Raw genomic sequence first — 13124 nt, 5'->3', positions numbered from 1 at the left:
TTTATTCCAAAGCTAGCTTAGGGGAAGAAGTACAGGCTTCCTGCCGTAAGGTACTGCATTGCTTTTGGAGCAGAAAGCAGGCGCTTTTAAAAGGCGGGCTTGGCATGAATGGCACTAAGGAGAGGAAGCGAGCAGGTGGGTGTCCCCCTAACTTGCTTCTGTGCCTTACGTACCAGGGGGTTGAGCTGGCAGCCACTGGTGCCTTCGTGGGCAGAACTGGGTTGTAAAAGTGGCTGAAACTCTCCGGGTGGGAGAGAGTTTTGTAGCAGGACTTTGGGTTGTAGATTGATTGCTGTTTCTCGAGGTAACCTCCTGGCAAGTGAGATTCCCCTCTGGAGCTCGAAGCACATAGTTGGATGAACTTGCCCTGTAGAGAGTGTCTGCTGAAGGGGAGGTAAAAGGTTATAAGTGTATTTCTAAAGGGCTAAGTAGGAAGTAGGGAACAGGGGAAAATGGGGAAAGGAGAAAATAAGAGAAAAAAATAATAACTCACTCCCTTTTTCTTAGAAAAATGAGCGTACTTGGTTACAGTACAGTCATGGCTCACTGTAGCCTTGACCTCCTTGGCCTAAGCAATTGTCCCACCTCAGTCTCCTGAGTAGCTGGGACTACGGTTGTGTGCTGCCACACCCAGATAATTTTTTATGTTTTTGTTTTTTGTAGAGACAGGGTCTCACTATGTTGCCCAGGCTGGTCTCAAACTCCTGGGCCCAAGCCATCCTCCTGACTGTGCCTCCTAAAGTGCTGGGATTATAGGCATGAGCCATTGTGCCCGGCTTGGTTTAATTCTTTATATACGCACTGTTGTCTTCCTTTCGATTACACATTATTCTACTGTAAAAATAATCTTTCGTTGCTTACCCCTTTCTCAATTATTTGTTCAGTTTATCTTATTTTGGAAGGCCTTAACGAAATGAAATGGTATGCTTTATCTTTATCTACCAGTGGATTGTTCACATGGCCTTTGTCTTTGACCCAGTTCCTGGCATATACAGCTCCTAAAATCTATAGAGTTTCCTAAGTGTTGTCTTTTTGCATGCTGATGCATTGACTGATAGCTGGCAGCCTCCAACAAGCTTCAGGATGGGGCCTGAGTTGCCAGAATATCCAAGGCAAGATTGGAAGATTGGGGCTTTAAACTCCACTCCTCAGCTACCAGGGAGGGGGAGAGGCGACGAAGGTTAAGTTGATCACCAGTGGCCAATGGTTTAATCATGCCTACTTCATGAAGTTTCTATGAAAACACAAAAGCACATGGTTCAGAGAGCTTCAGTTTAGGTGAACACGTGGAGATTCCTGAGGGTGGCATACTCAGGGAGGGCATGGAAGTTCCAACCCCTTTTCCAATACTTCACTGTATGCATCTCTTCATATGTATTCATTGTAATATCCTTTATAATAAATGGGTAAATGTACATAAAGTGTCTCCCTGAGGTCTGTGAGGTCTAGCAAATTAATTGAACCCAATGAGGGAGTTACAGGAACCCTGATTAATAGTCAGTCTGTCAAAAGCACAGGAAAAACAACCTGGGGCTTGCTGTTGGCGCCCGAAGTGGGACTGAACCCTCAACCTGTGGGATTTGCCACTATCTCCAGGTAGATGGTATTGAAACTGAACTGGGGTTGGAGGATACCCAGGCGGTGTCTGCTGCACAATTGATTGCTTGCTGGCATAGGGGAAAACTATACATCTGTTTATTTATTATTTGTTTGTTTGTTTATTGTTTTGAGAGGCTCTTACTCTGTTGTCCAGGCTGGAGTCCAGTCGTGTGATCACAGCTGACTGCAGCCTTGATCTCTGGGGCTCAAGTGATCCTCCCACCTTAGCCTCTGGAGTAACTGAGACTATAGGCACGCACCACCATGCCCAGCTTGATTTTTTTGTAGAGATGAGGTTTCATTGTATTTCCCAGGCTGGTCTCTTGAGCTCAAGCAGTACTCCTGCCTTGGCCTCCTAAAGTGCTGGGATTATAGGCATGAGCCACTGCACCTGGCCACATCTGATTTTAGAAGCATTTTCTGAGATTATAGTAGGAAAAACAATTTCATTTTTCCACAGAATATGTCTCATGGATTTGAATTTTTTTGTGTACATTGGTACGTACTTTTATTTGATTCATTTTAAACTATTTATTTTAGATTCAGGGGGTACACGTGAGGTTTCTTACATGGGTATATTTTGTGATGTTGAGGTTTAGTCTTCCAAAGATCCCATCACCCAAGTAGTGAACATAGTACCCGATAGATAGTTTTTCAGCCCTTCCCCTCTTCCTTCCTCTTCCTTTTTGGAGTCGCCAGTGTCTGTTGTTCTCATCTTTGTGTTTGTGTGCACCCAGTGTTTAGCTGCCATTGTGAGAACATGCGGTATTTGTTCTTCTATTTGTGCATTAATTCGCTAGGGATAACGGCCTCCAGCTGCATCCATGTTGTTGCAAAGGACATGATTTTGTTTTTTTATGGCTGTATAATATTCCATAGGGTATATGTCTACTATATTTTCTTTATCCGATCCACTTGATGGTCACCAAGGTTGATTCCATGTCTTTGCTATTGTAAATGGTGCTGCAATAAACATATGAATATAGGTGTCTTTTTGATAGAACAATCTATTTTCCTTTGGGTACATATCCAGTAATGGGATTGCTGGGTTGAATTGTAATTCTATTTTTAGTCTTTGAGAAATCTCCAAACTGCTTTCCACAAGGTCTGAACAAATTTGCATTCCCATAAGTGTATGAGTGTAAAAGTGTTTCCTTTTTTCTGAAGCCTTGTCAATATTTGTTGTTTTTTTTTTACTTTTTAGTAATAGCCATTATGCCTGGTATGAAATGGTGTCTCATTATGGTTTTGATTTGCATTCTCTGATGATCGGGGTGTTGAGCATTTTTTCATACGCTTGTTGGCCAATAGTACGACTTCTTTTGAGAAGTGTCTGTTTATGCTATTTTCCCACTTTTTAGTGGGGTGATTTGTCTTCTTCTTGTTGATTTGCTTATGTTTCTTATAGATTCTGGATATTAGTTATTCGTCAGATGCGTAGTTTGCAAGTATTTTCTCCCATTCTGTAGATTGTTTACTCTGTTGATAGTTTGTTTTTCTGTGTACAAGCTCTTTAATTAAGTTCCACTTGTCTATTTTTTATTTTGCTGCATTTATTATGAGGTCTTCATAAATTCCTTTTATTTGCTGCATTTATTTTGCTGCATATATTATGAGGTCTTCATAAATTCCTTGCTTAGGCCAAAGTCTTAGAAGAGTATTTCCTAGGTTTGCTTTTAAGATTTTTATAGTTGGAGGTCTTATATTAAGTATTTAATCCATCTCAAGTTAATTTTTTTATATGGTGAGAGATAGGGATCCAGTTTCATTCTTCTGCATATGTTTAGCCAGTTTTCCCAGCACCACTTATTGAATAGGGTATCCTTTCCTCATTGTTTATTTTTGTTGATTTTCTTGAAGATCAGTTGGTTGGAGGTGTGGGCCTTTATTTTAGGGGTCTCTGTTCTATTCCATTGGTATATGTGTCTGTTTTTATACCAGTACCATGCTGTTTTGTTTACTGTAGCCTTGCAATATGGTTTGAAGTCAGGTAATGTGATGCATCCAGCTTTATTCCTTTTGCTTAGGATTGTCTTGGCTCTTTGAGCTCTTTTTTGCTTTCATATACATTTTAGAAGTTTTTTCTAATTCTGTGAAAAGTGATGTTGGTCATTTAATAGGAATACTGTTGAATCTATAGATTGCTTTGGGCAGTTTGGACATTTCATTGATATTGATTCTTTCAACCCATGAGCATGAAATGCTTTTCCATTTGTTCGTGTTGTCTGATTTCTTTCACTGGTATTTTGTAGTTCTCCTCATAGAGATAGTTCACAACCTTGGTTAGACATACTCCTAGTCATTTTTTGGGGGGTGTGGCTATTTTTAATAGGATTGCATTCTTGATGATGTGTTTCTCAGCTTGAACATTATTGGCGTTTAAGAGTACTGCTGACTGGGCCGGGCACAGTGGCTCACGCCTGTAATCCCAGCACTTTGGGAGGCCAAGGCAGGCGGATCACCTGAGGTCGGGAGTTCAAGACCAGCCTGACCAACATGGAGAAACCCAGTCTCTATTAAAAATACAAAATTAGCCGGGCGTGGTGGTGCATGCCTGTAATCCCAGCTACTTAGGAAGGCTGAGGCAGGAGAATTGCTTGAACCGGGGAGGCAGAGGTTGTGGTGAGCCAAGATCGCACTCCAGCCTGGGCAACAAGAGCGAAACTCCATCTCAAAAAAAAAAAAAAAAGTACTGCTGATTTTTGTACCTTGATTTTAAATCCTGAGACTTTGCTGAAGTCATTTATCAGGTCTAGGAGTCTTTTAGTGGAATCTTTAGGGTTTTTTAGATACAGAATCATATCCTTCTCAGAGAGATAATTTGACTTCCTCCTTTTCCTTTTCGTTTGTTGTTTTTGTTGTCGTTGCTAAAAAATAGAGACAGAGTCTCACTATGTTGCCCATGTTGGTCTCGAACTCCTGGACTCAAACTACCCTCTCACCTTGGCCTCCCACAGTGATGTGATTACAGGTGCAAACTACTGCATGCAGCCCTCTTTCTGTTTGAATGCCTTCTGTTTCTCTCGCCTGATTGCTCTGGCTAGGACTTGTCACAGGCATACTGTTTTACTCTTGGTAGCATCTGTTGATGCACAAAAGTTTTTCGGTTGGATGCAGTCCCTTTTTTTTTTTTTTTGCTGCTATTGTGTTTCCTTTTGGTGTCATAGCCAAGAAATCTTTGCCAAATCTAATATTCTGAAGTTTCCTTGATTTGTTGAGCCTATTTTTTTTTTTTTTTTTTTTTTTTAGATGGAGTTTTGCTCTTGTTGCTCAGGCTGGAGCGCAGTGCAGTGGCACAGTCTCACTGCAACCTCCGCCTCTCGGGTTCAAGAGATTCTCCTGCCTCAGCCATCCAAGTAGCCGGGATTACAGGCATGTGCAACCATGCCTGGCTAAATTTTTGTATTTAGTAGAGACGGGGTTTCTCCATGTTGGTCAGGCTGGTCTTGAACTCCTGACCTCAGGTGATCCACCTGCCTTGGCCTCCCAAAGTGCTGAGATTACAGGCGTGAGCCACCGTGCCCGAATTGTTGAGCATTTTTATCATGAACTATGTTGAATTTTGTCAAATAACTTTTTTTTGCACCGATTGAGATGAGCATGTGGTTTTGGTCCTTCACCATGTCAGTGTGGTGTATTACATTGACTTTCTTCTGTTGAACCACTCTTGTCTTCCCAGTGTGTAGTCCACTTGGTCATGGACTATAATCCTGTTAATGTCTTTACAATTTGGTTTCCTAGTATTTTGTTGAGGGCTTTTGCATCAGTGTTTATCACGAATAATATCTTACACTTTTGTTTCCTTGTCATATATTTGCTTGGGTGGTGTCAGACTAAGGGTGGTATCATACAATTGTTTTTTGTTGTTTCCTCTTCTTCACTTATTTGGAATTGTTTGAGAATTGTTAATTCTTCATTCAACATTGAGTAGAATTGTACAGTGCTTATGAGTTATGCATGTGTTCCTGGTCTTTGTTCTAGGATTTTTTTTTTTTTTGATTGCTGCTCCAGTTGCCTTACTACTTATGAGAGTATACAGATTTTTTCTTTCTCACTCAGACACAGTAGGTTAAGTTCTCTTATACTCCTTCTTCTTACTTTGACATTGGAGTTGACCACATGATGGTGTTCCACACTTCCCTTAGGCTATGTTCATTTGTTCATTTTTCTTTTCTTTTCTTTTCTTTTTTGACATGCAGTCTCACTCTGTCACCCAAAGCTGGAGTGCAGTGGTGTGATCTTGGCTCACTGCAACCTCTGCCTCCTGAGTTCAGCTGATTCTTCTGCCTCAGCCTCCTGAGTAGCTGGGATTACAGGCACACATCACCATGCCTGGCTATCTTCATCATTCTTCTATTTCATTTTCTCCTTTTATTTATTTTTTTTAGAGATGGGGTCTCACTTTGTAGCACAGGCTGGAATATGGTGGCATGATCATAGCTTACTGTACCTTCAACCTCCTAGGCTCAAATGATCCTCCTACCTCAGCCTCCTGAGTAGCTGGGACTACAGGCTCATGCCACTACACCCAGCTAATTTTGTGTATTTTTTTTTTCCCCTGAGGTGGCAACTCTTGTTTCCCAGGCTGGAGTGCAGTGGTGCGATCTCAGCTCATTGCAACCTCCATCTCCTGGGTCCAAGCGATTCTTCTGCCTCAGCCTCCCGAGTAGTTGGGATTACAGGTGCCCACCACCATGCCCAGCTAAGTTTTTGTATTTTTGTAGAGATGAGGTTTCATCATGTTGGCCAGGCTGGTCTCGAACTTCTGACCTCGTGATCCGCCCGCCTTAGCCTCCCAAAGTGCTGGGATTACAGGCGTGAGCCATCACGCCTGGCTCTAGTGTGTTTTTTAATTCAGTTATGTTTTTCAGCTCTAGAATTTCTGTTTCTTCTTCATAATTTTTATCTCTTTGTTGATAATCTCATATTTATTGTTTTTCTGATTTTCTGAAGTTGTTTATGAGTACTGTCTTAATACACTGAGCAACTTTAGGAGTCTTATTGTTATTTCTTTGATAATGTATATATATATATATCTGCTTCTTTAGTATTACTTTGTGGTGATTTAATATGTTGCTGCATATGGTCCATGTTTCTTTTTTTCTTTTGCTTTTTTTTTTTTTTTTTTGAGATGGAGTCTCACTCTGTCACCCAGGCTGGAGTGCAGTGGTGGGATCCCAGCTCACTGCAACCTCCACCTCCCGGGTTCAAGCGATTCTCTGTCTCAGCCTCCTGAGTAGCTGGGATTGCAGGCATCCGCCACCACGCCCGGCTAATTTTTGTATTTTTTGTAGAAACGGGATTTCACCATTTTGGCCAGGCTGGTCTCGAACTCCTGACCTCGTGATCCACCCGCCTCGGCTCCCAAAGTGCTGGGATTACAGGTGTGAGCCACCGTGCCTGGCTTCTTTTGATATCTCGTTATCTCCTGTTGGGACCACAGCATTTCACTAATCAGCCACTTGTAGTTTTTGATTCTGGCTTCCTTCAGGGAAGACATGCTACAGTCATCCTGACTAGAGGCTCTGGAGATCCCTCAAGCCTTTTCTAAGGATGCGTCCTCCGTGGACTTTTTGATTGTAGCTTAACTAAAGAGCTTGTGCCAGTTTGTATGCAGGAATGCCTCTGTTGTCTGCCGGCTGTTCCGCAGCCTCGCTGGTGTCCTAGTAAGCTGGGGGCTGCACCGCCACCTAATGTCTGCGTACGTTACTACAAGCTCTGGTTTATGACGGATGGCTTTGTTCTCAGTAGCTTCCTTACCTGGGGTCCTGTTACTTCAGTGTTTATATTCAGGCAAGACAGAAACTTGTCCCTTAGCAGTGCCCTGAAAAGTCAGAACGTTATGAGCCTTGTGTTGTGTTACAGGAAAAAAGAGAAAAAAAAAGTCAGAATGTTAGATGGATATTCCCATACTTTCTCTCCCCAGGAGAAAATGGAAGTGTGGTTTTCTCACAGTGATACTACATCATGGCAGGATAGGGCCTCAGGTGAGCAGGTGTTTCAAAAGAGTTCTGACCTCTGATGTGGTTGCCAGATTTCCCACAAAGACAATTTGGTCCATGTAGTGTTATTAAATCTGTGTCTCCATGGGTAGTGCTTGGGACTTCCTACTCCTCTGTCTTATAGACAGCATCACTTCAGTACAGTTTTCTTTTTTTGAGATGGAGTCTCACTCTGTCACCCAGGCTGGAGTGCAGTGGCGTGATCTCGGCTCACCGCAACTTCTACCTCCTGGGTTTAAGTGATTCTCCTGCCTTAGCCTCCCGAGTAGCTTGGATTACAGGCGCCTGCCACCACGCCTGGCTAATTTTTGTATTTTTAGTAGAGACAGGTTTCACCATGTTGGCCAGGCTGGTCTTGAACTCCTGACCTCAAGTAATCCACCCGCCTCGGCCTTTCAAAGTGCTGGATTACAGGCATGAGCCGCCACGCCCGGCCGCATTATCATTTCTTAAGATACCAGTTGTGCTTATTTAGTTCATGTAGTTATTGAATATCACTCAGTATGTCAAACATAATGTCTAACACTTCCATAGAGATAACCTTGTTTTCTGTTTTTTATTTGTATACTTATTGCCCATAAAACTGAGAAATCGACACTGATATAGAGGATATCACAACCTCTTAGGTAAAAGAATAATAAGACAGAATTAGGGAGACATAACTTGCTCAAAAGTCCTTAATGCGTAGGAAAATATGGGAAAAACAGACTCAGTTTCTCCTGCTTTGCTTCCATAATACAAATACTTCTGTGATTTTGGATGTATTGGGTTTTCCTCTACACATCAAATAAACAATTCTGCAACAGACACCAAATGGGTGTTCTCATATTTGATTCCATTCTGACACTGTCTATCTGGATATAGGGTCAGCTCCCATAGGCTGAGGGCTCAATCCCACAACAGCGCACACACATTAATGCCAGTCACAAACACAAGTTGTGGCCTGTGCTTCTCAATGACCAGCTGTGAATTGTGAATTCTGATGACCCCCTCCTTGAAATTGATTAGTTTGCTTGAGTGGCTCACATAACACAGGGAAACACTTATATTTACCCATTTATTATAGAAGATGCTACAAAGCACACAGATGAACATCTAGATGGAAGTGATCTATTAGTTGAGATATGGGAAAGGAGTGAGGAGCTGGGATGTATTCTCTCATGTATTCTGTCTTTTTTGAGTTTTCATGGAGGCCCCATTATGGAGGCCTTGCTTCCATTATTGGCATTGGTGATCAACTGAACTTTCATTCCCTCTGTCCTCCCGAGAGGACAGAGGCTTAGTCTAACCGAGCCTCAGCCTTTCCAGTGACCACCCACCGAGCCTTAGTTCCGGTGACCGCCCTCCATCCTGAAGCTACCTAGGTGCTCCAGACACCAATTATCCCATTAATGTACAAAAAGATACTTATCACTCCACTGATTTCAAGTGAGCTCTTATGTCAGGAGAGGGGGATGAAGACCAAATCTGTATGTCACATTGTCACAATCTGGATCTGTCAGCTCACCCACTTCAATTTAACCTATTCTCACATTTTTCTCCTCTTCTCCTTTTATGTGAAATTTTGAACTCTCCCCTTAGCCACTTGGTGAAATGTGTTTTTCATTTTAGGTACGGTTGACATTTAGGGATGTGGCCATAGAATTCTCTCAGGAGGAGTGGAAATGCCTGGACCCTGCTCAGAGGATCTTATACAGGGACGTGATGTTGGAGAACTACTGGAACCTTGTTTCTCTGGGTGAGGATGACTTTCTTCCAGAAGTCAAGATCTGTTCTTGTCTATTGTTGCATTTTCCCTTACGAGTCCCTGGAGAGCCCCTGCATTGCTTGACTGAGATTGAAGTCCTGTTGACTCTGAAATGGAAAGCTTAATCATGGGAAACCTGGACTTTAATCTTCCCCTTTCTCAGATGTTCTGCCTCCTTTGTACTTCATCATTTGAGGTTTCAGAGCTTTTGTATGCATAATACATTGTGTTAGACTTTTGAAATGTCAGATTTCCTGTTTTCTACCTCTCTGCTTTGGATTAAGTTGTTGGTGGAATAGAGCCTTCTATCAGCATGTACCATGTTTCCTGGGTATTCAGAAGGAGGCATTCAGTGGATGATTTTTTTTTTTTTTTTTTGAGGCGGAGTCTCGCTCTGTCGCCCGGGCTGGAGTGCAGTGGCGTGATCTAGGCTCCCTGCAAGCTCTGCCTCCCAGGTTCATGCCATTCTCCTGCCTTAGCCTCCCGAGTAGCTGGGACCACAGGCGCCCGCCACCACACCTGGATAATTTTTTTTTATGTTTTTAGTAGAGACAGGGTTTCACCATGTTAGCCATCATGATCTCCATCTCCTGACCTTGTGATCCACCCACCTCAGCTTCCCAAAATGCTGGGATTACAGGCATGAGCCACCGCGCCTGGCCCAGTGGATGAATTTTTGAAGTTTTCTTAGATCCACATATAATGTCCTCTCATGTAAACATAGGGCTGGGATTCTGGAAAAGCCCCGGCACATTGTGATCCTTTCTTTTTATAAACAGGACTGTGTCATTTTGATATGAATATTATCTCCATGTTGGAGGAAGGGAAAGAGCCCTGGACTGTGAAGAGCTGTGTGAAAATAGCAAGAAAACCAAGAACGCCGGAATGTGTCAAAGGCGTGGTCACAGGTAAGAGCTCAGATGGGCAGAGAGAAGGCCACTCATTAACTAGAGTGTGGGAGGGGGCACAGTAGCTCACGCCTGTAATCTCAACACTTAGGGAGGCCAAGGTGGGCAGATCACTTGAGGTCAGGAGTTCGAGACCAGCCTGACCAACATTGTGAAACCCTATCTCTACTAAAAATACAAAAAAAAATTAGCCGGGCATGGTGGCGTGTGCCTGTAGTCCCAGCTACTCAGGAGGCTGAGGCAAGAGAATTGCTTGAACCCGGGAGGTGGAGGTTGCAGTGAGCCAAGATCATGCCACTGCACTCCAGCCTGGGTGGACAGAACAAAACTCCGTCTCAAAATAAATAAATAAATAAAGTGGGAAACTCTCTGCAGATGAGAGAGTTCTTTGGGAAAATAAGTTGCCTTAGAGATAGAGGCAAAGTCTTTATCATGATGGACAACACCCTGTCATTTGAACTCTATGGTTCCTTCTGAAGAAACTGCTTTCTTTCTTGGTCTCTCCCTCTGTATTTAATTCCATATGGTGCTCAGTTCTTAGTCCATATGGGTCAGAGGGGAAGCCTCCATAGTCCTTAGTCCTGACGTCTAGACCTGTTTATGTTCCACCCCATTTCCTGTGCGTGGAAGACCTGCTCAGGAGATGGAAACATTGGCTGCTGCTCCTTGGCATCTGCTGCCCCAAACCTCATGGAAGAGTCTCCAGCCGTCTCCGCCTGTCGAGGTCCCTCGGCCATTTCTTCCATTCTGCTTTTGCCACTTTCATGGGGGTGTGTGATAAGCGAGTGGGTTCTATCTTCTAAGATTGTTCTCAGCATAACCGTAAAGACACCTAACAAAATCCTTCTGTCATTGATCCTCAGTCTTACATGGGGTGCGTATTCTGTTTTTCCAGGCTTCAGCACAGAAATACAAGTACTGCATGTTGTCACTTACATTTGGAATCTAAACCAATAAAACTAATAGCAGCAAAGAGTAGAATGTGGGTTACCACAGGTTGGGGACTGGAGGGAATAGGGAGATGTTGGTCACTGGGTGAAAACATTAGGAGTAAATGATAGGTTTTTGAGATGACTTATATGGTAATAGGCTTGTTTCCATCAGTCCATATTGTATACCTATAACAGAATATCAGTTTGTTTCCTGTAAATATATATAACTATAATTTGTCAATATAGAATTTTTTTAAAAATCATATTCCAGTTCTTATTGTGTTGGTTCTAAATAAAAATGCTTCTTTCTCTTAAGACAAAACTGTTTATTATTCCACGGACAATAATTTTTTTTTTAAATGAAGTTTCGCTCTTGTTGCCCAGGCTGGAGTGCAATGGTGCGATCTCGGCTCACCGCAACTTCTGCCTCCTGGGTTCGAGAGATTCTCCTGTCTCAGCCTCCCGAGTAGCTGGGATTACAGGCATGCGCCACCATGCCTGGTTAATTGTGTATTTTTAGTAGAGATCGGGTTTCTCCATGTTGGTCAGGCTGGTCTCGAACTCTCGACTTCAGGTGATCCACCTGCTGCAGCCTCCCAAAGTGCTGGGATTACAGACATGAGCCACTGCACCTGGCCAATAATTTTTTTTTTAAGTTTCCACACATGGCCTTAAACAAGAACATTTTATATATGCAGTTATTCCTCTCAATTCATTTTATCATAGGCTGCTAGAATATCTTATTAGTTGATTTTCATAAAATGAATACATTATGGTTTTCAGCAGGTATTGTGAAATATAACTGTCAGGCCAGGTATAGAGGCTCACGCCTATAATCCCAGCACTTGGGGAGGCAGAGGCAGGCAGATAACAAGGTCAGGAGTTCGAGACCGGCCCGACCAACATGGTGAAATCCTGTCTTTACTAAAAATACAAAAATTAGCCAGGCATGATGGCACATGCCTGCAGTCCCAGCTATTCGGGAGACTGAGGCAGGAGAATCACTTGAACCCTGGAGGCGGGGGTTGCAGCAAGCCAAGATCGCAGCACTACACTCCAGCCTGGGGAGCAGAGCAAGACTCTGTCTAAAAAAAAAAAAAAAGAAAGAAAGAAATATAACTGTCATGTACCACTTACTAATGCTGCAAAATTATCTGCTCTGTGTGGATATAGATAGTTATATAACAAGTATTTCAACACATTTTTTTCTGACATAGTTTTATTGAATGTTCATTTTCCTAGTGCTATGATGGTTTTGCAGTTCAAAATTCCCGCTTCTTAATTATGTTTCCTGTGAGCTCTTTGCCATTATAATATATTATGTTGTACTTTAGTATGTATTTGTACATAATGAATATGCTTTAAATGTGTATAACTTATTTTTCTTCAATTGAGATAGCCATATGTTTTTGGCCAATTGGTATGTGCCGTGAGGTCAGCGTGGAAAAATAATCCTCTGATGGCTAACATAGGATTCACAACGTGAGTGTTTTGGTCATAGGTAGTTTGAATCTAGGCTGCCCGATTTTTTTTTTATTTTTTTATTTTTTAAGACATCTCACTGTCTCTAAGGCTGTAGTGCAGTGGTACAATCATAGCTCACTGTAACCTTGAACTCTTGGGCTAAGGCAATCCTCATGCCTCAGCCTTTTTTTTTTTTTTTTTTTTGATGAGACGGAGTTTTGCTCTTGTTGCCCCAGGCTGGAGTGCAGTGGCGCAACCTCACCTCCTGAGTTCAAGCAATTCTCCTTCCTCAGCTTCCCAAGTTGCTGGGATTACAGGTGCCCATTACCACACCCAGCCAATTTTTTATATTTTTAGCAGAGACAGAGTTTTGCCATGTTGACCAGGCTGGTCTCGAACTCCTGACCTCAGGTGATCCACCCGCCTCGGCCTCCCAAAGTGTTGGGATTACAGGTGTGAGCCACCGCACCCA

General features: G+C 42.7%; 1 protein-coding gene across 50 annotated transcripts in view; it reads left to right on the top strand.

Moving 5' to 3' along the window:
- The window catches only part of ZNF160 (zinc finger protein 160), a 36809-nt gene that overhangs the window by 19027 nt on the left and 4658 nt on the right, over positions 1-13124 (top strand). For 42 of the 50 annotated variants that reach the window (NM_001322135.2, XM_047439638.1, XM_047439632.1 and 39 more), the window contains 2 exons: positions 9213-9339; positions 10128-10256. In NM_001322135.2, coding sequence (NP_001309064.1) covers positions 9213-9339; positions 10128-10256 — 256 coding nt within the window. Of the gene's footprint in view, positions 1-9212; positions 9340-10127; positions 10257-10886; positions 11504-13124 lie in introns of those variants that run through there. The other 8 variants (NM_001322125.2, XM_047439646.1, XM_047439645.1 and 5 more) reach the window with 1 other exon arrangement.

Source organism: Homo sapiens, chromosome 19 (assembly GCF_000001405.40).
Source record: "Homo sapiens chromosome 19, GRCh38.p14 Primary Assembly".
In the NCBI taxonomy this organism is placed as follows: Eukaryota; Metazoa; Chordata; class Mammalia; order Primates; family Hominidae; genus Homo; species Homo sapiens.
The sequence above is the reverse complement of the archived record's forward strand: the minus strand, read 5'-3'. Positions and strand labels throughout refer to the sequence as shown.